Raw genomic sequence first — 26,873 nt, forward strand, 5'->3', positions numbered from 1 at the left:
TGTTCAGTAGGTTAATGCAGTCATAAGTCACCCTAAATTGGATCAAGGACATGTACACTGGGAAGCATGGCTTCTTAGGGGTCATATCTAGGAGAGCAGCTGTCATGCTGACCATTTACTAACTCAAGAATTAAGCCGTGATGTTTTTCAGGTCTATGTGCAAACATTACCTGCCTTGAAATGTAGTCCTTGGTCACCCTAAATAAAATGATCTTCCCCCGGGAGGCGGAGCTTGCAGTGAGCCGAGATCCCGCCACTGCACTCCAGCCTGGGCGACAGAGCGAGACTCCGTCTCAAAAAAAAAAAAAAAATGATCTTCCCATCTCCTCATGTTGACTTTATTATCATCTACTGTCCCACTAGAATATTTTCTCATGAGAGTAGGGAATTTGTCTTGTCTGCTGCTGCATACTCAGTGTTGAGAAGCATTCTTTACAAAAACTAAGTAATTAATATTTGTTAAATAAATGAATTAGTAAATCTTACATACCACAAGAGATATGTATATATGCATATCTATCTAGTATTAATCTATCAATCTATCTAGTGTATAGCTCCCCTTTAAAAAAAAAATAGAAAGAATAATTTTGGTTTCAGGGCCAGGCTAGGTGGTATACGCCTGTAGTCTCAGCCACTCAGCACATTGAGGTTGGAGGGTAGTTTGAGCCCACAAGTTCAAGGCTGCAGTGAGCTATGATCATACAGCTAACTGCAGCCTGGGTGACAGAGCAAGACCCTGTCTCTATAATAATAATAATAATAATTTTCGTTTCATTAGAGTAGCTTTGCTGGTCTGGAAGGCAAGAATACATTCAAGAAAATTTTTCAATTTGGTGACAGAACATGATTTTGCATACCAGATAGGCCTGTGCAGTGGTTTATAGTCTGGGAGCTATATCAGTCATGTGTCGTAAAGATAACTTTCTGATTCAGTTTATTATCATCCATATAAACAAGTTTGTCTTGCTTTTACATAACAATACTTTTCATTATATGCTGAAAAGTCTTGGTTTTTCTGTGTATTTCTTTGTAATTGTCATATGATTTTCTCTAAATGCAAGAAAGATACCAAGAAACAGAGTTAAAGAGAACAAGTGTGTTTGATGAGAAGAAGAGATGGGAGAAATTGACTGCATAACGATGGTTACTCAAAGCAATATATTTATATATTTGTATATATATGACTGTTTGTGTTTGTGTGTCTATGTGTCTCTGTAATAAGCATACATTTACATATGTATTTGTGTGCGAATATGTGTGCGTGTATATATACTCACCAATTCACTTATACATATATATACACACACATATGTACTTTTCCTATTCTGCAGGCTAGTGGTTATGAACAAATAAGGGCTTATGAACAAATAAGTTTATGTATAAAAACATTTAAAAATCAAGTTAAAGCAGAAGAGAGCATTGCCCTGCCTATACCCCAGAAAGAATGAATAAGTAGAAAAATTATAGAGATAAGGCAAAGAGCTCACATGAGCACATCTATGCAGTTAGCCTATATGCATCTATCCTAAAGATATCTAGAGATACAACTGTGTCCCTGAACCCAGCATTACTCAGGGATATAAATTTCCTAAGAGTCAAAGCTTTATTGACATGTAGCATTTGGCTCTTTGCATTCACTTATTTACTCGGTCTAACTCATAGGCTAATTCTTGAATAAATAAGCAAGAAGCTGTTTTCAGTTAGCCTGTACCAAGTTATCTACCATACTGTCTTTGAATGAAAGTAGTTTTGAATATTGTGATGCAGATCCTGAAACAGGTTGATATTTTTAAAATGACTTGAGTATAAATATTTCCTGAAGGATAACAGCAAGTAGTAATATCCTATTCATTATATTATATTCTAAATAAAATTTACATCAAAATATATAAAATTTCCCTTTCCCTCAAAAACTATTGTTTGAACTCTCCCAAATTCATCTAACACAAGCCCAAATCTTGTAACAAAATTAAATGTGGATGTACAAACATACAAATATACACATACTTACATATATCATGCATAAAAGCTATGTATACGTTTGTATATGTCAGCAAGACTTTACTGTAATTCATAATTTTATATTAAAATTATAGTCCTTAATATTCCCTGATTTAAGTTTACTGAAGTCCATATTAGTCATCTTTCTCATAGCATATTTTGAAAGCTACATGTTCTATAATGAAGGACAATGCCAGGGCAAGACTGGGGTGAACACTTGAGTCTTATTAATCAAAGATTAAGGAAGACGTGTTTTAAATTTATTTGAACACCCTTGAACTATTAATTCTGAGACATACAGAGGTATTTTCCAGACAGGAGTTTACTCTGTCACCCGGGCTGGAATGCAGTATCACGATCTTGGCTCACTGCAACCCAACCTCTGTCTTCCTGGCTCAAATGATCCTCTCACTTCATAATTATTATTTTGAGATGGAGTCTTGCTCTGTCATCCAGGCTGCAGTGCAGTGGCACCATCTCTGGTCACTGCAAATTCTGCCTCCCGGGTTCAAGCGATTCTTGTGCCTCAGCCTCCCAACTAGCTGGGATTACCAACATGCACCACTATGCCCAGCTAATTTTTGTATTTTTAGTAGAGACTGGATTTTGTCATGTTGGCCAGGTTGGTCTTGAACTCTTGGCCCCAAGTAATCTGCGTGCTTTAGCCTCCCAAAGTGCATGAGCCACTATACCTGACCTTATAATGTATTCAAAAGTATCTGGGTACAGACCCGTTCCTCAAAATGAGAGTTATTTAGTTAATTGGGGGAAAAAAACCATATTTAAAATATACACTTTTTCGAAAGTTTCTATCTAAAATAAATGTGCATGCATGGTTCAGCTGATGGCAAATCCTGTGAGATTAAATACCTGAGGGGGAGTGGGGACTTTCCTTCCATGGATTTTTCCAGTATCCATATAAGAAACCCCTGAGTGATCATGAGAAATCCTTACAAAATTTCACCTACCAGTTTATAAGCTTCAATGAATTATCTTGCTTTTTATGATATGAAGTTTTTTTTCTCATGGGATAAATGGATTTGAGATATTGTTGCTTTTATGGAAATTGTAGCCATTTTATCATGACATTCCAAGGCAGTATTTCTTACCTATTTATATTTATCTTTGGGTCTAAAGTTGTTTCCAAGTTTGTAAGTATTAGATAAACATCTCTCCAGATTTAATCAGTGAAATTCTAAATACAATATTAGAATGTACCTTACTGCTTAGTTTTGATGTATTGCTTAAGAAAGGAAAAGATATATACCCTGGTTTGGTTTAATATATCCCTTCAGAAGAATATTTGAGTTGGATAGAAACAGTTTTGACATGCACTTGAAGACTATAAATGCTGCAAATGACAGCTTTTAATCAGTGTGATAAATAGCAAAGGTCTGTAAATGGTATCAAATAATTTCTAAAAATGAAAACTAATTTTCCACTCCCACTGCTAGCAAATTTGTCAACTACAGTTTGATAGAACCAAAACATCTGCTCTTTGAAGCTGTGTAAACTCTCTCAGTAAAATGATGCATTATTTTGTTTTCAGATATACATTCATCTCTTTCCTAATTTAGTATGTTTATGAAGTACTAAGATAAGTTCCTGATTGAAAATTGTATGCAGTTAAATTAAAGACAGAAGTTTCGTTGCTTAAAGTTTTAGCTTTAGCTTTGCTCTCTATCTTCCTTTTGAATTTCTTTCTTATGGTGCTAAAGATGAACATGTATATTGCTCCCTTTTCCAATTATTTTATTTTTGAAGTTTAAGAAAGTTAACACATGTAAACAATGTAAAATGTCATTAAAATTAATAAGTATTTAATAACTCAGATATAATTATCAAGAATTTCATTAATCATCAAAGTGTTTCTATCTATCTTCTTTATTTAAAAATATATGTTTTTTTTCAACAAAATGAGAAGGAAACCCACAGACTTGAAGAAAATATTTGCAAAAGACACATAGGATAAAAAGCTGTTATACAAAATATACAAAGAACTCTTAAAACTCAACAACAAGATAACAAACAATCCCATTAAAAGGGGGCAAAAGACAAGCAGACAGCTTGCCAGAAAAGACATACAGTTAAAAGTAAGCATCTGAAAAGATGTTCAACACCTTATGTCTTTAGGGAATTTTAAATTAAAACAACATCGAGATTCTACTATACAGCAATTAGAATAATCAAAATTCAAAACACTGACAACATCAAATGCTGGTGAGGGTGTGGAGCAAGAGGAACTTTCATTCACTGCTGGAGGGACTACAAAATGATACAGCCACTTTGAAAGACACTTTGGCGTTTCTTACAAAACTAAAAATACTCTTACGATATGATAGAACAATAATGGTTCTTGATATTTACTCAAGTGAATTAAAAACTTATGTTCACATAAATACCTTTACCTGGATGCTTATAGCAGCTTTATTCCTAATTGCCAAAACTTTAAAGTAAGCAGGATGCCCTTCTGTAGCAAGTAGATAAAGTGAGGTATATCCAGAAAATGAAATATTATTCGGCACTAAAAAAAAAAAAAAAAAAAAAAAAAAAGCTATTAAGCCATGACAGGACATGAAGTAGATATAAATGCATATTACTAAGTGGAAGAAGGTAATCATAAAAGACTACATACTATATGATCCAGCAATACAACATTCTAAAACAGGTAAAACTATGGAGGCAATAAAATGGTTGTTTGCCAGGGGTTAGGAGAGAGAGATAGATGAATGGACAGACATAGATAATTTTCAGAGAGTGATACTATTCTGTATGATACTGGAGTGGATATACACCATTATACATTTGTCAATACCCAAAGGATGTACAACAGCAAGAGTGAGCCCTAATGTAAACTATGAACTCTGGATGATGATTGTATGTCAATGTACGTTCATAATTTGTAACAAATGTACCACTCTGGTGTGGAATATTGATGGAGGGGCATGTTGTGAGTCTGTAGAGAAAGGGGGTATATGACAACACTGTGCACTTTCTGTTCAATTTTGCTGTGAACCTAAAATTGTTCTAAAAATAAAGCTTATTAATTAAAAATTGTGTTTCTTGATAACTAATTTTGGCATGCAGTTTTGGTCAGAGTTATGTTAAATACCTACTGTGGGTCAGATGCCATGTATATCCAAGATAAAACAGAACCAATAGGAGAGTAAAATTTATATATAACCTCATATAGATATAAAACCATATATATAACCTTATATATATTATATAAATATATAGAAATAATTTTATTATAAGATATTTACACACATGGTATTTGAGGCTGAGATTTCCCATATTATGCTGTCTGCAAGCTGGAGACTCAAGAAAGCTAGTTGTGTGGTTCAAAGGCCTGAGAGCTGGAGAGCTAATGATATAGATGGCATAGATTCCAGTCTGGTCAGAGAACCAGCAGTGCCAAGGGCAGGAGAAGATTGATGTTCCAGTTCATTCTGTCAGGCTGACTTAATTCAATCTTCCTCTACCTTTCTGTTTTATTCGTGTCTTCAATGGATTAGATAATGCCTGCCCACCTTGGTGAAGGCAGATATTCTTTATTTAGTCTACTGATTCAGATGCTAATCTCTTCCAGAAACACCCTCACAGATACATCAGTTATCCCTCACAGATCAACCAGTTATTCCTATGGCCTAGACATGTTGAAACATAAAATTAACAACCCATAGTATATTGTGAATGTAAAGATGAAAAAAAACATTATCACATATCTAAAAGAACTTATTGTTTAGTAGGAAAGAAGAATGTCTGGATGGTATTTTAAATCTTATTACCCTGTTTGAATTCTAAGATAGTTTCCTAAGGAAAATGATTTGAGGACAGAAAGGGAGATTATTTCAAAAGGAAAAACAATCTGAAAAAATAAGCAAAAGCAAGAACAGAGGCAAAAATATAAACATTGCTATCACTGGAATATACAGTGTCCTGTGTGATACAGTGGGACATCAATTAAAAATTATATTGGGCCAGTCCAGCATGGTCTTGCAAGCTAAACTTAGGAACTGGATTAGTGCATTTACTAGGTAATGGGTAAATATTAAGAAATTTTAAGTAACAGTATGATCTTTCACAATCTGTACCCTGACCCTTTATCTCTGTGACCTCAGCTTCTATGATTTCTTTCCTCACTTTCTATATCCCAGCAATTCAGATGCTTTCAACATGTCTAGCACCACCTGCTTTGGGCCTTTGTTGAAATTTTGTTTTGTTTATTGTGGTTTCCCACTTAGAACAGTGCCTGGAAAATAACAGGCATTCAGTTTAAAAAATGTGTTTAATTAATGATTTTACACATTTGTTAAACAAAATTCGGATATGTGTGCCTAATTGCCTATTTCAGTGGACATTTCTTCTATCCATTTCCGTGTTAACAATCTTCACTTGATTCACTAAATTGTAAGTTTCTTTAGCACAAAGATCTTATCTTGCTCACTGTTGAATCTTAAGCACATGAGATATAATAGCTGCTTAATATATAACGGATGAAAGGATGAAACTACAACTATCATTCCATTCTTTGTAAACCCCGTTTCCCTAGAATCTCTCTTATATGACCATGCCTTCCACTCAGTCATTCCGGTGTCTTTTTATTGACTCTTCTCCTGAGTGTCCTCCAGGTGCTGGAGCTTCTCAAGAACACATCCTAGGCTCCTTTCTATTCTACACACTTTTCCCAAATATTTTTATTAAATTAATTCTATGGTGATCTGTCTCAGGATGTATTAAATGTGTTGACCAGTTTTTTTTTTGTTTGTTGTTTTTGTTTTGAGACGGAGTCTCTCTCTGTCGCCCAGGCTGGAGTGCAGTGGTGTGATCTGGGCTCACTGCAAGCTCTGCCTCCCGGGTTCACGCCATTCTCTTGCCTCAGCCTCCCGAGTAGCTGGGACTACAGGCGCCTGCTACCACACCCGCCTAATTTTTTGTATTTTTTAGTAGAGATGGGGTTTCACCGTGTTAGCCAGGAAGGTCTTGATCTCCTGACCTCATGATCCGCCCGCCTTGGCCTCCCAAAGTGTTGGGATTACAGGCATGAGCCACCGCGCCTGGCCTGTGTTGACCATTTTTTAAAAGCCATTAATTTTAATATATGAATAAATTTGTCCTATGATTTTAAGATATTTGATAAGATTTTTAGAGGATATATTGATATTAATGGCTACTAACTAGTTAATAGTAACTGTTAATATCAATAATTTTTCAGAAAATTACGTGAGATTTATTAGCAGATCTACCTCATGCCAAAATTAACCTGCTTTTGAGACTGCGCTTTGGGGTGCTTCATGATCTCTGTTGATAGTAGTAATAATAATAAATATTGCTAACTTGTATGTTTTTTAAAACTTCTTAATCCAGCTTTGTGATATATTTCACCATTGTTCTATGGAGAAAATAGAGATGGCATTAATCACATTAGTCTCAAAGTAAGATTTAGAAAGCTTAGAGACATCTAGGATTTACTGAATTACTGCTTGTGCCAGGTGTTACGGTAAATGTCACCTATATGGTCCCTCATTTAAATCCTTCCCAGAAACCTGTGAGGTTTAAGTATGATTTCTATTTTGGAAATACAGAAGGTGAAATATGAAAATTTAAAGTTACTCAAAGTCACAGAGCTAGAGATATAGATATGCCATATCCAGACACGTCTCATTCAAAATACAGTACTTTGTCTTACAAGAGTGTTTTTAAAACTGATGCCATAGTTGGAAGATTTCCTGAAGCACCAGGAGTCACTTCTGGGATCAGAGATAGCAGAGGTGGCTCGATCCTTGACCTTTGGTCTCAGCAAAATATGCTTTTCTTTTACGTGTTGTACATGCAGGAGTTTTATATTTTTAAAAATCCCATAGAATTTAAAACACCAACAGTGAACCTTAATTTAAACTATGAACTTCAGGTGATAATGATGTGTCAGCGCAGGTTAATCAATTATAATAAATGTATGTGGGGCAGGGGTATATGGGAAATCTTGCTACCTTTCACTAAGGTTTTGCTGTGAATCTTAAAAAAAAAAGTTACCAACTTGTCATTTGACTCAACATGGATCCACCTGAAATTTAGTGAAATCATTTAGTTGATACAACTCACAGAAATGGTAACTATAATATTTCATTAATTATAATATATAATTTGACAATAATGTGAATATTATATATATAACCATGTATGTATGTTACCATTTGATATTTGTATGCCAATTATACGTAGTCTAAAATTTGTTCTAACTGGAGGGAGTGACAATATTAATGAACTTATTAAGCAGCTTAATATTTATATTAAAGCATGCTAGATATTCTATGCTTTCTTTAAGATTGTGAATAAGAAATTTTTTTTCTCTTCTTGTCCCTGATTCTCTGAACCCACTTTTGATTTTCATCTTCAAAAACATTTTTTCATATTGAGAAATAATTTATTCAGTTCTTACATTAATTATTTCCCTCTTTTCTTTTTCAAACCAATTTTATCCATATCTGCAGTTTCAAAATGAAATTTTGTTATCATAATGATAGCACCACTATCTAGAGCTTATTATGGTGGTGTTTTAGGTGCTAAGCATTTTACACATTTTATACACATTAAGTCCCTTAGTTCTCACAGTAACCTGAAAGTGTTACATGTAGAGAAACTGAGGCTAGAAAGATTATATAACTGTCTTAACATCACATATTCATTAAGAAGAATCAAGAACAAAAACTGGGCCATTTGTTCTTGACCACCACAGAAAACTGGTGCTCCACATGACAGGTGCTGTCCATATGATTTTGGCTTTCACTACAAAAACCCTCAGTGTTTATTAGTGGATAATTTACCTGATGCCTGAAATACAGACCAAAAAAGACCTGTCTGGGAGGTTGCAAAGCTGAGCACAGAGAGATGTGGCTGCTCCCTGGGTTAAATGAGAAACGCTATTCTCAGGAGGTTAATTATCACAAATTAGGAGCTTTCAATAGTTCGGAAACATCAGGGAAGAAACAGCAGATTAGTACTGATAAAATCTCATGGGCTCTGATGGGAAGCACTTTATATTGGCACTAATGAAAAAATCAGAAGCAACCATGCTTTGAATGCTTAGAAATTTCAGGTTTCAGCATATTAAGAATTCAGTCAAATAAAACTTAAAAGAGCTTTAGGATTACAGCAATTGAGCAAAAGGATGACTCTTGAAGGTGGACTAAAACTTGAGGAAAATTTTTCTCCATTTTTTATGCATTTTCTGAGAAACATGTATTTACACCTGATTTAATAATTTTTTTCTGTTTTGAAATTAAAGTTTGATGAGAAGAGAGTAAGCTCCATTTCAATAGCTAAAGATGTTTCATATGATCATGTCTTCTACCTTAGGTACTTTGTTCTGGTAAAATTAGAGAGTATGTTTAAATCCTGAGGTTCAGTGAAGCCTTTGCTACTTTCTTCCTATCAACCTTCTTCTCAACACAAACAAAAGCAAAACAACTAAACTTTCTCCACACACTACGGAAAATTATCAATGTTGGACCTTCATTTCTATAATATGAAGTTTTATTACAAGGATTTTTTCAGTGTCATGACCTTAAATGTAAAGCTTTACTCATTTTTGGATAATTTAAAATTTTGAATTTTGAATTTTTACTATGAATTACAGTGAAAAAAAGTAATGTAAACACTACTAGAAATGGAGAAATGTTACTCTATTGGCACTAATCACTTTAAAATATTTTTTCTTTCTTACTTTAGAAAATGTATTGTGACTACTTTTAAATTATACAGTAGTACATGTTAATTATAGAGTATTCAGAATCTGTAGAATAGTAGCATGTAGAGAAAATATTCACAATCCAAACAAGATTTTGATTTTCAGAATCAACTTTAGTGATTTTTTTTTCTAATTTCAATTTTTATTTTAGATTCAGGTGCTACATGTGCAATTTTGTTGCAGTGGTATAGTGTGTGATGCTGAGATTGGTATTTCTATTGATCCTATCAAATAGTGAACATAGTACACAATAGGAAGTTTTTCAGGCCTTATCCCCTTCTCTCCCTCTCTCCTTTTTGAATCCTTAGTGTCTACTGTTTCCCTCTTCATGTCCATAGGTACCCAAGATTTAGCTCCCACTTATAAGCAAGAACGTGATATTTTATTTTATGTTTCTGCATTAATTCGCTTAGGATGATTGACTCCAGCTGAATCTACTTTGCTTCAGAGAATATGATTTCTTTCTTTTTGCATGTCTGTATAGTATTCCATGGTATATATGTATCACATTTTCTTTACCCAATCCACCAATGATGGGCAAATACATTGATTCTTTGTCTTTGCAATTATGAATAGTGCTGTGAAGACCATACGAGGGCATGTGTCTTTTTGACAGAATGATTTAGTTTCCTTTAGGTATATACCCAGTGACAGGATTGCTGGGTTGAATGATAGTTCTATTTTGAGTTATTTGTGAATTCTCCAAACTGCTTTCCACAGTGGCTGAACTGATTTACATTCCCATCAACAGGGCATAAGCATCCTCTTTCTCTGCAGCCTCGCCAACAACTGCTCAAATTTTTTATTTTTTACTTTTTAATAATGGCCATTCTGACTGCTGTGAGATGCTATATCATTGTGGTTTTGATTAGCATTTTTCTGATGATTAGTGATACTGCATCTTTTTTTCTTATATTTGTTAGCTGCTTGTACGTCCTCTTCTGAGAAGTCTGTCCATCTGTCCTTCTCTTTTGTCCATTTTTTAATTTGGTTATCTTTTATATTCTTATTGATTTGTTTAAGTTCCTTATAGATTCCTGTAGATTCTGGATATTAGATCTCTGTCAGATGCATAGTTTGTAAAGATTTTCTCTCTGTTCACTCTGTTGATAGATTATTTTGCTGTGCAGAAGCTCTTTAGTTTAGTTAGGTGCCATGTGTCAATTTTTGTTTTTGTTGCAATTGCTTTTGAGAAACTAGTTATAAATTATTTCCCAAGGCCAATGTCCAGAAGGAAATTTCCTAGGTTTTCTTTGAGGATTTTTATTTTTATTTTTTTTTATTTATTTATTTATTTATTTATTTATTTATTTATTTATTTATTTATTTGAGATGGAGTCTTTCTCTGTCACCCAGGCTGGAGTGCAGTGGCACGATAGCTCACTGCAACCTCTGCCTCCCGGGTTCTAGCGATTCTCCTGCCTCAGCATCCAGAGTAGCTGGGATTACAGGTGCTCGCCACCATACCCAGCTAATTTTTGTATTTTTAGAGAGGTGGGCTTTCACCGTGTTGGCCAGGCTGGTCTCGAACTCCTGACTTCAGGTGATCTGCCCGCCTTGGCCTCCCAAAGTGCTGGGATTGAGGATTTTTATAGATTAAGGTTTTACATTTAAGTTTATAGCCAGTGAAGAGAGATAGGTTTCTGCAATGGGTTTCATAGGCTTTGCTTGCGGAAGCAATTTTTGGTATAATTCCGGCTGCATTCCAGTAGGTGGTGTTTAACAGTAAGAGAAAGCAAATAGGCTCTTAGTCGTGCACCCCTTTTGTATTTCAGTACAGACACAGCAGGGCTCTGCGGAGGGGAGGCAGTTGGGCAAAAGATGACTCTCTCTCCAAGTTCATTCCCTGTCCTTGGTGGAGTCCCCTTCAACTACTAGCTCTGTGCCAGCATTTTCTTTGCCCCAAGGGAGGCTTTGGCAGCTTGCACTCTCATCTCCCTTCGGAGGTTAGGTCATAGGAGACCCACAACTCTCCGGGGCCTGCTGGTCTCCTGTGCTTGTTAGAGTAAGAGCGAATTGTGAGATATGTTTGCAGGTGGTTTGGTGAGGCAGTGGGTCAAGGATGGAGGATCCCAGGGCAGCGCGGTGGGACTGTGGATGTGCAACAGATATGGCACCCACAGCCCTGGGTTTTCATCCTGGCAGACAGCTGTGGGCCTGCCCAGCTTGTGCTCCCACAGTCCAGTGGGTCTCCTTTCGGCATGCACCCTAGGAGCAGGCCCGACTGGCTAGGCTGGTCCCAAGCCTTCTGCATTCAGATCACTGGGCCAGTCGAGGCGTTCTGGGTCACGGGGCTCCCTGGGAAAGAAGCTGAGGCTGGCTATCAGGCCACACCCTTCCCAGACTTGTCTTGGAAAGGGAGGAATGCCCAGCTCCCCTGCTGGCACATAAACTCGCGCTGTACTCCTCTCTGTTCTGAGAGTGGGACTCATCTCCTCGTCATGTTCAAGCTACAGATCTCAACTGGATATCTCTGGGCCATGTACTTGAATCCTAGGGAGTTGAGACCAGGCCTATGGATTTGTTCTCTGGCCCCTCAAGGTCGAGCACTGGCTGTGCTGAGGGGCAAACTACTCCCACACTGCTAAGAAGACACACATGGGGCAGTGAAGGCTGTGCTGTGGGCACCATCCTGTAGGAGTCAAAAGGCAGGTTGTCTTGGGAGGGACCAGCAGGCAAGGGGGCATGTGGATCAGATATGCTTGAGTCCCATAGCAATGGCAGCCCCGTTCCCTCCAAGCCCAGCAGACAAAAGGAGCTTCAACCACTCAGTCCAAAATGCAGAAGCTTGGGGAATGGGCATCTATGCTTGTGTTTTGCCACAGCTGTACTGCACAGCAAAACCTTCTGGGCTCCATGAGGGTTCAAGCTGCACATCTACCTGCTTTCCAGGCAGCGCCCCCCTCCAAGTTCAAAGGTCTATGGGGGTTGTGGGAGCTTATCCTATAGCTAGGATACCAGAGGTCCGTGGGGGTACTATTACCCCAGGTTTTCTCACTCACTCCTTCATTGGGTTCAGGAACTGGGGGGCAATCCTAGTGGCCCTGTTACTCCAAGCAGGCTTCCCAGCTTATTCTCTCTTCAACCCCAGCATCTGTGTCGCCTCTATCGGCTTTCCGTGTTTTCTCTCAAAAGGTCTGTTGGAGGTGTGATGGTTTATTTGGCGTTTTGGTTCCTCTTGCTGGAAGAGGTGTTTTCTGGCTATGTCTGGTTGACCATCTTGCCTGGTTTCCTCAAGATTATTTCTTTTATTAAAAAACTGGTATATTTTTATGTAGTTTTTTTCTCTCTTTATAATTGTATTTATATGGTTTATAAAATGTTTTAACCCTCTATTTTTTTAAAGCACTGTAATAAAAGCATTTCATGTTCTAAGAAATTATTCCTACATAGTACAATCAACAGTGGCAATAAATATCACATTAAGTCAAAGAATTGGGGGAGGCCTATATTATAAAAGGATAAATAATTATTAATAACAAATATCTGAGATTCTTACATAATTTTTAAACTTTTATTTTAGGTTTTGGGGTACAGGTGAAGATTTGCTCCATAGCTAAACATGTGTCACAGGGTTTTTTGGCACATATTATTTCATCACCCATGTATTAAGCCCACCCATGGATTGTGCTCCCACAATCCAGTGAGTCCCCCTTCGGCATGCACCCTGGGAGCAGGCCCGCCTGACTACGCTGGTTCTAAGCCTTCTGCACCCAGATCACTGAGCCAGTCGAGGTGTTTTGGGTCACAGGGCTCAGTACCCAATAGTTATATTTTTCTGCTCCACTCTCTCCTCCCACCCTCCCTGCTCAAGTAGACGGCACTGTGTGTTGTTTCCTCTTTTATGTTCATAAGTTGTTATCATTTAGCTCCCACTTATAAGTGAGAACGTACAGTATTTGATTTTCTGTTTCTGCATTAGTTTGCTAAGGATAATAGCCTCCAGGTCCATTCACAAAAGACATGATCTCATTCTTTTTTATGGCTGCATAGTATTCCATCCACAATATATATGTACTATATTTTCTTAATCCAATCTGTCATTGATGGGCATTTAGGTTCATTCCATGTCTTTGCTATTGTGAATAGTGCTGCAACGAGGGTTCAAATACATGTGTCTTTATGGTAGAATGATTTATATTCGTCTGGGTATATGCCCAGTAATCGGATTGCTGAGTTGAATGATAGTTCTGCTTTTAGCTCTTTGAGGAATTGCCATATTGCCATACTGCTTTCCACAATGGTTGAACAAATATATACTCCCACAAGCAGTGTATTAGTGTTCCCTTTTCTCCACAACCTCGCTATTAGCCTGATGGGGTTCCTTTTGTAGGTGACCTGCCCATTCTCTCTAGTTGCCTTTAACATTCTTTCTTTCATTTCAACCTTGAAAAATCTGATGATTATGTGTTTTGGGGATGATTTTCTTGTGTAGAATCTGGCAGAAGTTCTGTGTATTTCTTGAATTTGTTGGCCTCTCTAGCAAGTTTGGAGAAGTTTGCATGGAAGATATCCTGAAATGTTTTCCAAGATGTTTGCTTTCTCCCCCTCCCATTCAGGGATGCCAATGATTGGTAGATTTGGCCTCTTTATCTAATCTCATACTTCACAAAAGTTTTGTTCATTCCCTTTTGTTCTTTTGTCTTTATTTTGTCTGACTGTCTTATTTCAGAAAACCAGTCTTTGAGTTCTAAGATCTCTCCCTCAGCCTGGCTTATTCTACTGTTAATACTTGTGATTGTATTGGGAAATTCTTGTATTGTGTTATTCAGCTCTGTCAGACCCATTAAGTACTTTTTTATACCTGCTATATTGGCCTCCAGCTCTTGTGTCACTTTATTGTGATTCTTATTCTCCTTGGATAGGGTTTTGCCATCCTCCTGAATCTCGACGATCTTTGTTCCTGTCCATATTCTGAGTTCTATGTCTGTCATTCCAGCCAGTTTGGTCTGGTTAAGAACTGTTGTCTGAGAACTAGTGTGGTCATTTGGAGAACATATGACACTCTGGGCATTTGAGTTACTGGAGTTCTTGCATTATTTTTTTTTTTCATCTCTGCATGTGGGTATTCCTTTAACTGCAAAATAGATTGAATACAGTCAATAAATTTTTTTGGGTATTTTCACTAGGCCAAGCCTTTCTGCAGGGCCTTTATTTGAAGCTGGCTGCTTGTCTCTGGTTTCAGAGAGGGGTATCTTAGTGAGGTTTTTGGTGTTGAAGCTTTGGGTATGATCCAGCAGGAGGCCCTCAGGCTTATTGGTAAGTTGGTAAACTCTTGCTTGGTTATGTGGCTCCCCTAGGTTTCCTCACTGTTGCAGCCTTGTTCCCTCTCAATGCTCTGAAAGTGTGGGTTCCTCTCCTCCTTGAGTGCTGGCTGTAGTTCACGACTTGGTACACCTGGGCTGTCCACTGCAGCTCTGAAGTGATCTCAGTGTTTATGTCCCTTCCTCAGCTTAGAGGCAGCAGAGGAATAGATCTTAGTAGTGGCTGTGGAAGAGGGTCATTTGCTTGTCTCCTCGGGGCTTCACTCCAGAAACATGCAGGTCAGAAATCACTCAGTAGATTCAGCCTCTTTCCTAAGGATATATAAGGGGTCTAACCTCCCACTTTGCTGGAGCTACAGCTACTTTTGCTGGAAAGACCAAGTATCTAAAGGTCCAGTTTTCCCACACATGCCTGACTGACTGCTCTGTCGAGACTCCACATAACTCTGTCTGTCAGACCGAAAGCCCTGGTGGAGTAGGTTCACAAGAAGATCTCCTGTCCCAAGGGTTGCAAAGATTCATGTGAGAAGTGTGGTTTCCCAAGACCGCTCATCCACTCACCACTTCCCAGGGCAGAGGAGGTTCTCCTGGCTCCATTTTGCTCCCAGGTGGGTCGTTGTCCTATCTCTTCTTCATTCTCCTTGGGTCAAGTTGTTTTCTTGATTAGTCCCAATGTGAGTACCTAAATGCTTCAGTTGAAGGTATCATAGTTACTCGCCCCTTCTGCTCCTCTCTGTGAGAGCAATGCACGCTAGCTGCTTCTAGTTGGCCACTTTGACCACTTCCCTCATAATATTATAAGAAACTTATTTTATATTATTCAAATAATATTATTTGATAAGTTTAGAAGATGATAAAAGAAAATTAATTACCCATAATCTCCCTACCTGGAGCCAATAATCTGTATTTTCTAGAACCAATGGTATAAAATTAATGTAATTTTCATTTTGTATATAGGGGTGTGTGTGTGTATATATATATTTCTTTTACTCTCATATTCTCATAGTATTTAAATAATTCAACCAAACCAAGCCTTCATTTAAAAATATTTTCTCTCAACATTACATCATTCTTAGTTTTGTTAAATTATTAAATTAAAGTGATTTATATGTATACAGTTTTTGTCAGATTTTTGAAGCTCGTTAACATTATTAATCCTCACATCAAAACTATTATCTTATTTTTTAAAACTCAGGAAACTGAGGTTCAAGGAAAATACTTAATTGGCTGAAGTCACAGGATATAATGACCAATAATACTTCCATTATGGTCCTTATAATCTAAAATGCTTAAAATCTTCCACATCAGTATACTGACTTCTTATCATATATACTAGGTGATACACGAATGCTCTATTGTTAGATATCTGATTGCTTCCAATCCTTCACTAAAGATGTTATGAAAGCAATTGCAACAAAAGCAAGTTTGACAAATGGGATCTAATTAACTGAAGAGTTTCTGCACAGCAAAAGAAAACTACCATCAGAGTGAACAGACTACCTACAGAACGAGAACATTTTTGTAATCTATCTATCTGACAAAGGCCTAATATCTGGTCTACAGGGAACTTAAACAAATTTACAAGAAAACAACCCCATTAAAATGTTGGCAAAGGAGATGAAGAGACACTTCTCAAAAGAAGCTCAACATTACTGATCATTAGAGAAATGCAAATCAAAACCACAATGAGATAATATCTCACCCCAGAAAGGATGGCAAATATTAAACAGTCCAAAAACAACAGATGCTGTCACGGCTGTGGCGAAAAAGGAATGCTTTTATACTTTTGGTGGGAGTGTAAACCAATTCAACCATTGTGGAAGACAGGGAGGCAATTCTTCAAAGACCTAGAGGCAGAAATACAATTTCACCCAGCAATCCCATTACTGGGTATATACCGAAAGGAATATAAATCACTATATTATAAAGAAACATACACATGTATGTTCATTGCAACACTATTCACAATAGCAAAAACATGGAACCAACCCAAATGCGCATCAATGATAGACTGGATAAAGAAAATGTGATACATACACACCATGGAATATTATGCAGCAAGTGATGGATTGATCTGTGCAGCAAACCACCATAGCACACATTTACCCATGAATGTAACGAACCTGCATATTCTGAACACGTACCCCAGAACTTAAAAGCTGAAGAAAAAAATAAACAAAAGTATAAGAGAAAAAATAACAAAAGAAGAAATAAAAGAGAAAAGAAAGATGTCACAAATCTCTTTCTAAAATTTTCTATTTTTATTATTTTCCGTATAATAAATGCATAGAATTAGAATTAAAGTAAATTATACTGCATTTGTATGGTTCTTGCATTTAGATTTCTAACATACTTTCTGGAAAGTAGCATCCAAATAACACTCTAAGTCACAACATTCATGAGGAACCATTTCATAGAGATAAGCTGCTAGTTGTTCTCCAGGAGTCCTCACTGCCTTCTTCAATAGTGGTTAAAGATTTACATGGCACATTGTTGACCAGCTAACATGTTAATTTCCCAGCTTCTCTTGAAGGCAGGAGTGGCCATATGGCAAGAATCTGGCTAATGAGTTATAGGCACAGGTAATACTTGCAATTTGGGGTCCAAGCTTTTGAAAAAAGAAAAAAGCATACATTTCTTCTTTCCTCAGTCGAAAGTTGGAATGATAAAGTAACAGTGAGTCATCACTGATTATACAGCAAAGGTGAGCCCTATAAATAATGTAACAATTGAGTAGAAAGATCTTGGGTTCCTAAAAGCTTCAACCCAGCAAATAGCCCTAAACCAAACTGATACACAGCATATGTGTGCTGTGTATGTGTGTGTTCTGTTGGTCACTATATTTCTCAAACTTTTGTTGTAGTGATTTAGCCTATATTGTTTCATACACACACACACACACACACACACACACACACACACACGCAGTATGCTGATGGGCTTGCTTACAATCACCTTTTTTTAATGTATCAGTATGGCACCTCTTTATTCATCTGATTACTACTGATTTTCCAAATGAATTTTTTTTACTTGAAATTTTCATTTTGAATTGCTTGTTTTTGCATCTGGCTTCCGTTAACATTTATCTCTCAGATTCAGAGCAAATAATTTACACTCTGTTTCTGTTGGATTTTTTTATAATATAATATTAAATAAAAACAGAACAAACACACAGAGTCCACACTAAACATATTAAATAATGACAAACGACCTAAGTGCTGTCCCTCAATTGTAACTATCTATCTATCTATCTATCTATCTATCTATCTATCTATCTATCTATACTAATTATGTGGGGGTTTGCAGAACAATATTTTTTTTTCCAATGAGCAGCAATATAGTGACAGGAGACAACTTATTTCCAAGGAAACAGACAAATTGCAAGTTACAGGCAATGTTTAAATCATTTGAGATTTATATACTTTCTAATCTCAGTGTTGAAATTCTCAAAAAGTCTTTGTGTTATGGTCTTGAATATGTGTCTTCATGTGTTTCTGTCTTTGATGTCTATATAGATGTCTATATATCTTCTTCACATCATGTTGTAGTTCTCATGTAACAAAAAGTTTGCATAGTGTCATATAAACTAACAGCTAATTACTTTTTCTTTTGGCAGCTTCAGAAACTACCTATGAATTGCTTTGGGATTTACTTCTGTAATAGCCACATTTCTTCAGACCTATTTATGGAATAAACATGCACTTAAATTTTACTCTTTATATAGAAGCTAATTAAGAAAAGGCAAGAAAATAGAATGCAATGAAAATAGTGGAGCCCAGGATATCAACGGGGGATCAATATTCTTACATATAGACAGAAACTGAAATAATCAGTTTCTGAGTGTTGGGACAAAATACAGAAACCCCCAAGTCTCTAGCATAACTGAGAGATGAGAGAGGCAACTTGAGCCTGAGGCAGTAAACTTTTCCTTGTGGTGTAATCTTTCTACTGCTCCCAGATCCCCAGATATACAAAACCAGATTGATGTTCTGATTCATCCTTAAAGATTTTATTGTAATCTATTCAAAATATGATCCACAGGATCAGGACCACAGCAATTATGTGGCTAAAAAATACTCCAGGAAGCAGAATGTAATTTTAATGTAACTAATTTTTTTTTTTTTTTTGAGACAGTCTCGCTCTGTCACCCAGGCTGGAGTGCAGTGGCGCGATCTTGGCTCACTGCAACCTCAGCCTCCCGGGTTCAAGCAATTCTCCTGCCTCAGCCTCCTGAGTAGCTGAGATTACAGGCGCCCGCCACCGCACCCAGCTAATTTTTGTATTTTTTTAGTGGAGAAGGGGTTTTACCATGTTGGTCAGGCTGGTCTTGAACCCCTGACCTCGTGATCCACCCGCCTCAGCCTCCCAAAGGGCTGGGATTACAGGCGTGAGCCACCGCGCCTGGCCATAACTTCTTATACATGTGTTTGCCAAAGGTACTAAAAGAAATATACCCAAAACTTTCAAAATTCTTTATCTTAAAAAAATCAACTTTTATCATATTCCACAGATGCTTCTGTGGAGCACTCTCTCAAAACCCATCAAAGGTTATCTGATAAGCATGTCCTAATCTTTTCTTTTCTTCTTCCTTCCTTCCTTTCCTTCTTTTTTTTTTTTTTTTTTTTTCCTGAGACCGAGTCTCGCTCTGTCACCCAGGCTGGAGTGCAGTGGTGCAATCTCAGCTCACTGCAATCTCCTCCTCTTGGGTTGAAGCAATTCTCCTGCCTTAGCCTCCCAAGTACCTGGGATTACAGGTGCCTGCCTAATTTCTGTATCTCTAGTAGAGACTGGGTTTCACCATGATGGTCAGGCTAGTCTCGAACTCCTGACCTCAGGCGATCTGCCTGCCTCGGCCTTCCAAAGTGCTGGGATTACAGGCACGAGCCTTTTTTAAAAAATTTTTTTGAGACAGAGTCTCATCCATGTGTTCTCATTGTTCAGCTCCCACTTATAAATGAGAACATATAATGCTTGGTTTTCTGGTTTTGCATTAGTTTGCTGAGGATAATGGCTTCCAGGTCCACCTATGTCCTTGCAAAGACATGATTTTTGTTCCTTTTATGGCTGCATAGTATACCATGGTGTATATGTGCCATACTTTTTTATCCAGTCTGTCATTGATAAGCATTCAGGTTGATTCCATGTCTTTGCTATTGTAAACAGTGCCACAATGAACGTACAAATTCACGTATCTTTGTAACAGAATGATTTATTTTCCTTTGGGTATATTCCCAGTAATGGGATTGTTGGGTGAAATGGTATTTCTGATTCTAGATCTTCGCCACACAATCTTCCACAATGGCTGAACTAATTTATATTCTGAGGGGACACATTCTTATCTATCAATTCTACACATGAGAAGTTTATAAATTGGGGAACTATTTTCTTTTTTTCTTTTTCTTTTCTTTTTTTTTTTTAGCGAAAGGGCTTTGCTATGTTGCCCAGGCTGGATTCAAACTCCTGGGTTCAAAGGATCATCCTGCACCAGCCTCCCGAGTAGTAGCTGGAATTATTAGCACATCACCATGCCAGGCTTAGAAACTCTTTCTTAATTCCCTAATTTCAAATATCACTTCTGTATATGAATCATACATTTAAGTAATTTGTATATACAAATTCAATCATTTTTAACATGCATTTGGATAAATATTAAATTAAGTAATATATCTAATATATGTAAATTTTTAAAAAATTATATCTAACCCTATTTACAATTTATGAAATTATTTTAAGCTTTTTGAACTACATATACAATTAAATAGGGTTAATTTTCTCAAACATTGCAAGCACTTAAGAAAGTAGTTAGTTATTGAAAAAACTAAGGTCTTACTAAGCCCTTGAGAACAAATATGCTAACTCAAACATAAATTTAGTATTTAGGCTGGGCACCATGGCTCATGCCTGTAAACCCAACACTTTGGGAGGCTGAGGCAGGTGGATCACCTGATGTCAGGAGTTCCAGATCAGCCTGACCAACGTAGTGAAACTCCTTCTCTACTAAATACAAAAAAAATTAGCTGGGCATAGTGGTGTACATCTGTAATCCCAGCTACTTGAGAGGCTGAGGCAGGTGAATTGCTTGAACCCGGGAGGTGGAGGTTGTAGTGAGCTGAGATTGCACCATTGCACTGCAGCCTGGGCAACAAAAGTGAAACTCCGTCTCAAGAAGAAAAAAAAAAAAGTATTTAAAATGTTCAAACATCTTAAAAAACTATCAGAATGCACATAAAATCAATGATTTTAAAATGTTTGTTAATTATCTTGTATACTTCAAAATAAGTAAGTATTGTTTTTTGTTTGTTTTTAAATCTTGGGATGGTAAATTTCTTCATTCACCATAAAGGGTAATTATAGAGCAGCTTAGATTACTTGACCTTAACGCCGAAATAGAACTTGGGTATGGGTGAGGTTAATTGGTTAAATAATTGCCATTACACACAGCCTATTAATGAAAGTGACTGAAGAACAAAAGCACTTTGAACTTAGATGTGACATCCAAGACTATCCCAGAGAATGACAGTATGACTAATTATTATGGTTTTATTTTTTCTTCTATGTAAATTAGGTTTTCTAATAACCATGTCTTTCTCCTAGGACTTAATCAACCATATTGATTTCCATGTTTTAAAACATTTTCCTTTCTATTGGAATAATCCACAACTAATATAACAATACCAATGGAGACTTGCATTAAAGTCTTCTGATTTTAATCGGTTTTTATGTAAAAGCACGTGTCATTATGAACAAGGAATACAGCAACACTTCAGAGTTTCCGACTTTCTAAACAAACATGTCAAGTTAATCAATATAATATTATCTTCTAATGCACAGGCCACAAATTCATCCACTACTTCTGAGGTATGAATAAAATATTATTTGTCGCTGTAATTATTTTGGCACCAATCAAATCTCCTTAACAAAAGAATATGACATTTCATGGAGTATATCCAATGACTTCATGTTGGGGATTTGACGAGAATAACTTTCTTTCTCACTTTTATAGCTTTCATTTTTAATCACATTATGAAATTTGTAACGCTCGGTTCAAGAATTTTGTAAAGACCAAATATGATACAATTCACTCTTTCATTGTTTTCAGTTTTTAAACATGTAATTAGGACGTTTTTAGAAGATTTTCTTCTTTACTTTTTCGCCTTTATGTCTATACTTTCTTGTTCTTCTGTTTTTATTTTCTAAATATAACATAATTACTCTCATATTTCATCCCAATTATCCGTAGAATTTTAAAATTTTGTACAATCTTATTCAAAAGTGAACAAAGTTTAAAAATATTTTTAAAAACATAATAAATTAAATGTAAAAATATACATTATTTGTACATTTTTTCTTAAATGCTAAAACTAAGTTAAAACCAAAATATACATACCATAATCAATTAATATTCAAAATTAAGTAAAATGATAGAATTGACATAATTATTTTTAAAATTACATTTCTTTATATATAAGAATAAAACCACTCACAGTTCTAATGTTCAATGTAAAAAAAATATATTATTCATGCCTGCTGGTCATGTAGATATATAAATTTAGTAGTTACAGGAATTATTTAATACCAAAAGAATTCATTCATAACCATGTACAACTATTGTGAAACTCACAACCAATCATGGGTTTATCCAAAATCTCAAATTAGAAGATAAACAAAACAAGCAAATGGACAATTGAAGCTATTGAAAAATTACATTTTGCTATACAGGAAACTATTTCATTCCAGGTAAAAGAGAGTAGGACCTGACAAGTTCAAAGTCTGTGCATATTTTTCCCAAATGCTTCAGTCTCTCCATTAATATTAGGAGAGAAGAAATCCACAACCCTTATGACCTTGAGATGCAATTGTTTTGAGAACTTAGGGCAAAACTTGTGAAGTGCTTCCCTGGAGCATAAACCATGTTAGTAACTGGAGCGATGCTATGTCAGCACTGAACACTGAATCCCAAAGAAAAGTTCGTAATGCACTGTGAAGTATTTGGGGATTGTAATCGGTGAAGACTTCTAAAGAACAAACCCAAGGAGAGGCTCATCTGTCTCAGGTTTTAGAGCAGTCACAAGGAATAGTGTCTATTTATTACAAATATTTTCTAACGGTTTTGGTTTTTCCTTGCAAAATTCTCTTAGTAAGACAAAATCTATCTTTAATCTCACCCTTGGAGCTAAGGTAAAAAATAAAGGTTATGTTAAGAAAAAAATATGAGAAAGTTACATTTTAAAGTATTAATTAGTTCAATATCACTAAAAATAAGTATACATTATTTTCTATTTTGATTTCAATTTGAGAGAAAAAGTCATAAAGTTTAAAGAAAAATGAGTAATAGGATTATTAATATATTGTTTTGAGACACAGTCTCACTCTGTTACCCAGGCTTGAGTGCAATAGCACAATCTCAGCTCACTGCAACCTCCAACTCCCAGGTTCAAGCGATTCTCCCGTCTCAGCCTCCTGAGTAGCTGGGATTATAGGCACGCACCACCATGCCCAGCTAATTTTTGTTTTTTGATTTTTTAGTAGAGACAGGGTTTCACCATTTTGACCAAGCTGGTCTCGAACTGCTAACTTCAAGTGATCCACCTGCCTTGGCCTCCCAAAGTGCTGGGATTACAGGTGTGAACCACCACACCCAGCCAAAATTCTTTTAAAAATATCTTCATAATTATACTTATGGTCATCCATGAATATCTGCATTTAGGTACATAAAATATATACACATGAATATTTGTGAGTAAACAATTTATATCCTGATGATTTCTGTACATCTTACACCTCAAAAAATTATAATCTCTACCAATAACTATTTTTGATATCAGGCAAATAAGTTAGAGTTTCTGTTTCTTCATCTTTATAAGAAGAGTAATAGTCTATTATCAAAATCATAGCTTTATACACAAATCAAAGCCACCAAAAATACACACTGCTATAAAAAATATAAAATGATGTCATACTCCTGAACAACCACTAGGTCAAACAAGAAATAATTGAGACTAATGAAAATAGTAACTTAACATATTGATGTGGTTTGGCTGTGTCCCCACCCAAATCTCAACATGAATTGTATCGCCCAGAATTCCAAAGTGTTGTGGGAGGGCCCTGGGGGGAGTTAATTGAATCAGGGGGCTGGTCTTTCCCATGCTATTCTCATAATAGTGAATAAGTCCCATGAGATCTGATGGGTTTATCAGGGGTTTCTGCTTTTGCTTCTTCTCATTCATTTTTTCCCTTGCCACCACGAACAAGAAGTGCCCTTCACTTCCCGCCATGATTCTGAGGCCTCCCCAGCATGTGGAATTGTAAGTCCAATTAAACCTCTTTTTGTTCCCAGTTTTGGGTATGTCTTTATCAGCAGCATGAAATCAAACTAATACACATATGATATGCAGAAAAGAATGTTCTAAAAGGAAAGTTTATAGAAATAAATATCTATATTAAACAAACAAACAAAAAATCTCAAATAGAAAGCCTAATGTTACACGAAGGAGTAAAAGAAAAGCAAAGCCTAAAGTCAGTAGAAGGAAGAAGATTACAAAAATCAGAAGTGAAATAAATGAAATAAAGACTTGAAAGACAACAAAAAAGATCAAAAGAAAGAATACATCAATAAATAAAATCATAAATAAAAAGAAGACATTACAACTCATACCCCAGAAATATGAAGGATCATAAGAGACTGCAATGAACAATTGTAAGCCAACAAATTGTATAACCAAAAGAAATGGATACATTTCTAAACACATGCAATGTACAAAGACTGAATTATGAAGAAATAAAAAAATCTGAACACACCATTAATGACTAAGGAGATTAAATCAAGGCAAACAAAACAAAAAATAAATAACACCAACAAAAAGCCCAGCATCTGATAGCTTCATGGCTGAATTCTACCAAACATTTAAAGAACTAATGCCAATTCTTCTCAGACTCTTCCAAAAACTTGAAGAGGAGACAATACTTTTAAATTCATTGTATAAGGCTAGCATTATCCTGATACCAAAGCCAGCTAAGAACATTACAAGAAAAGAAATTACTGGCCAATATCCCTGATGAGCATTGGTGCAAATATCCTTAATAAAAAATATTAGCAAACTGAATTCAACAGTACTTTAAAAGACTTATTCACCTTCCTTTCCAACCTGGACCCAGCAGAATGGCTCCCACAAAGAAGGGTGGCAAGAAGAAAAAGGGCCGTTCTGCCATCAACGAAGTGGTGACCCGAGAATACACCATCAATATTCACAAGCACATCCATGGAGTGGGCTTCAAGAAGCGTGCCCCTGGGCACTCAAAGAGATTCAGGAATTTGCCATGAAGGAGACGGGAACTCCAGATGTGTGCATTGATACCAGGCTCAACAAAGCTGTCTGGGCCAAAGGAATAAGGAATGTCCCATACTGAATCCGTGTGTGGCTGTCCAGAAAACGTAAGCTATATACTTTGGTTACCTATGTACCTGTTACCACTTTCAGAAATCTACACACAGTCAATTTGGATGAGAACTAATCGCTGATCATCAAATACATCAAATGAAGTTATAAAATTGCAAAATAAAATAAAATAAAAGACATTCACCATGATCAAGTTGGATTTATTCCTGGCAGGCAAGGATGTTTCACTGTATGTAAATCAACAAACATAATATATCATATTAACCAAATGAAGAACAAAAACCATATAATCATCTCAATAGATAAAAAGCATTTGACAAAATTCAACATTCTTTTATGATAAAAACTCTCAATAAATTAGGTATAGAAGCAATGTACTTCAACACAATAAAGGTCATATATGACAAGCTCATAGCTAACATCCTCCTCAGTGGTGATAATCCGATTCTTATAAAGTCAGTAACAAGATAAGGCTACTCAGTTTCACCACTTCATTCAACATAGTGCTGGAAGTCCAATCAGAGCAATTAGGCAAGAAAAATAAATAAAAGACATTCAAATATGAAAGAAGTTAAATAGTCTATATTTGTAGATGGTATAGTCTTTATATAGAGAAAACCCTCAAGACTACACCAGAAAAGCTGTTAGAAATAATAAACTAATCCAGCAAAGTTGCACGATACAAAATTAACATACACACAATCAATAGTGTTGCTATACACTAACAATAAACTGAAAAAAGAATTAAGAAATGGCCTCATTTATAATAGTACAAAAAATACTCAGGAATAAGTTTTACCAAGGAGGTGAAAGATCTGTATACTAAAACTTATAAAACATTGATGAAAGAAATTGAAGAAGACACAAATAAATTTTTAAAAACCTCATTTTAATGGATTGAAAGTATTAATACTGTTAAAAAGTTCACACTATGTAAAGTGATAAACAGATTTAATGCAGTCCCTTTTAAAATTCCAATGACATTTTTCACAGAAATAGAAAAAAATTTGCAAAATTTGAAGGAAATGTGAGAAGACACTGAATAGTCAAATCATTAGAAAAGGTTGTTTTCACTAGTTATCTCATATAATTAGTGTGACTAGCTAGTCACACTAGATTATACTACCTGATTTCAAAATACATGGCAAAGTTCTAGTAATCAAAACAGCATGGCACTGGCATGAAACAGACACATAGCTCAATGGAATAGAACAGAGACACAAGAAGTAAATCTGGGCATTTATGGTGAACTAGCCTTCTACAAAGATGCCAAGAACAAATATTGGGAAAAGATGGTCTCTTCAATAAGTGGTGCTAAAAACACAAGAAATCCACATTCAGAAGAATGAAATTGGATCCTTACCTCAAACCACATACAAAAATCAAATCAAAATGGATTAAAGATTACATGTAAAACTGGACACTAAAAGTTATAGAGGAAAACATAGGATAAAAGCTTTT

At 36.1% G+C, this 26,873-nt stretch overlaps 1 long non-coding RNA gene and 1 pseudogene across 1 annotated transcript in view; one reads left to right on the top strand and one right to left on the bottom strand.

Annotated features, from left to right (window-relative positions):
* LOC101928622 (uncharacterized) overlaps positions 1-26,873 on the bottom strand; it is a 143,555-nt gene that overhangs the window by 46,661 nt on the left and 70,021 nt on the right. Inside the window, exon 4 of the long non-coding RNA NR_125902.1 lies at positions 4,410-4,525. This is a non-coding gene — a long non-coding RNA (uncharacterized LOC101928622). The remainder of the gene's footprint in view (positions 1-4,409; positions 4,526-26,873) is intronic.
* Positions 25,148-25,568, top strand: RPL31P31 (ribosomal protein L31 pseudogene 31; annotated as a pseudogene).

This window comes from Homo sapiens, chromosome 4 (genome assembly GCF_000001405.40).
Source record: "Homo sapiens chromosome 4, GRCh38.p14 Primary Assembly".
NCBI classification, from domain to species: Eukaryota; Metazoa; Chordata; class Mammalia; order Primates; family Hominidae; genus Homo; species Homo sapiens.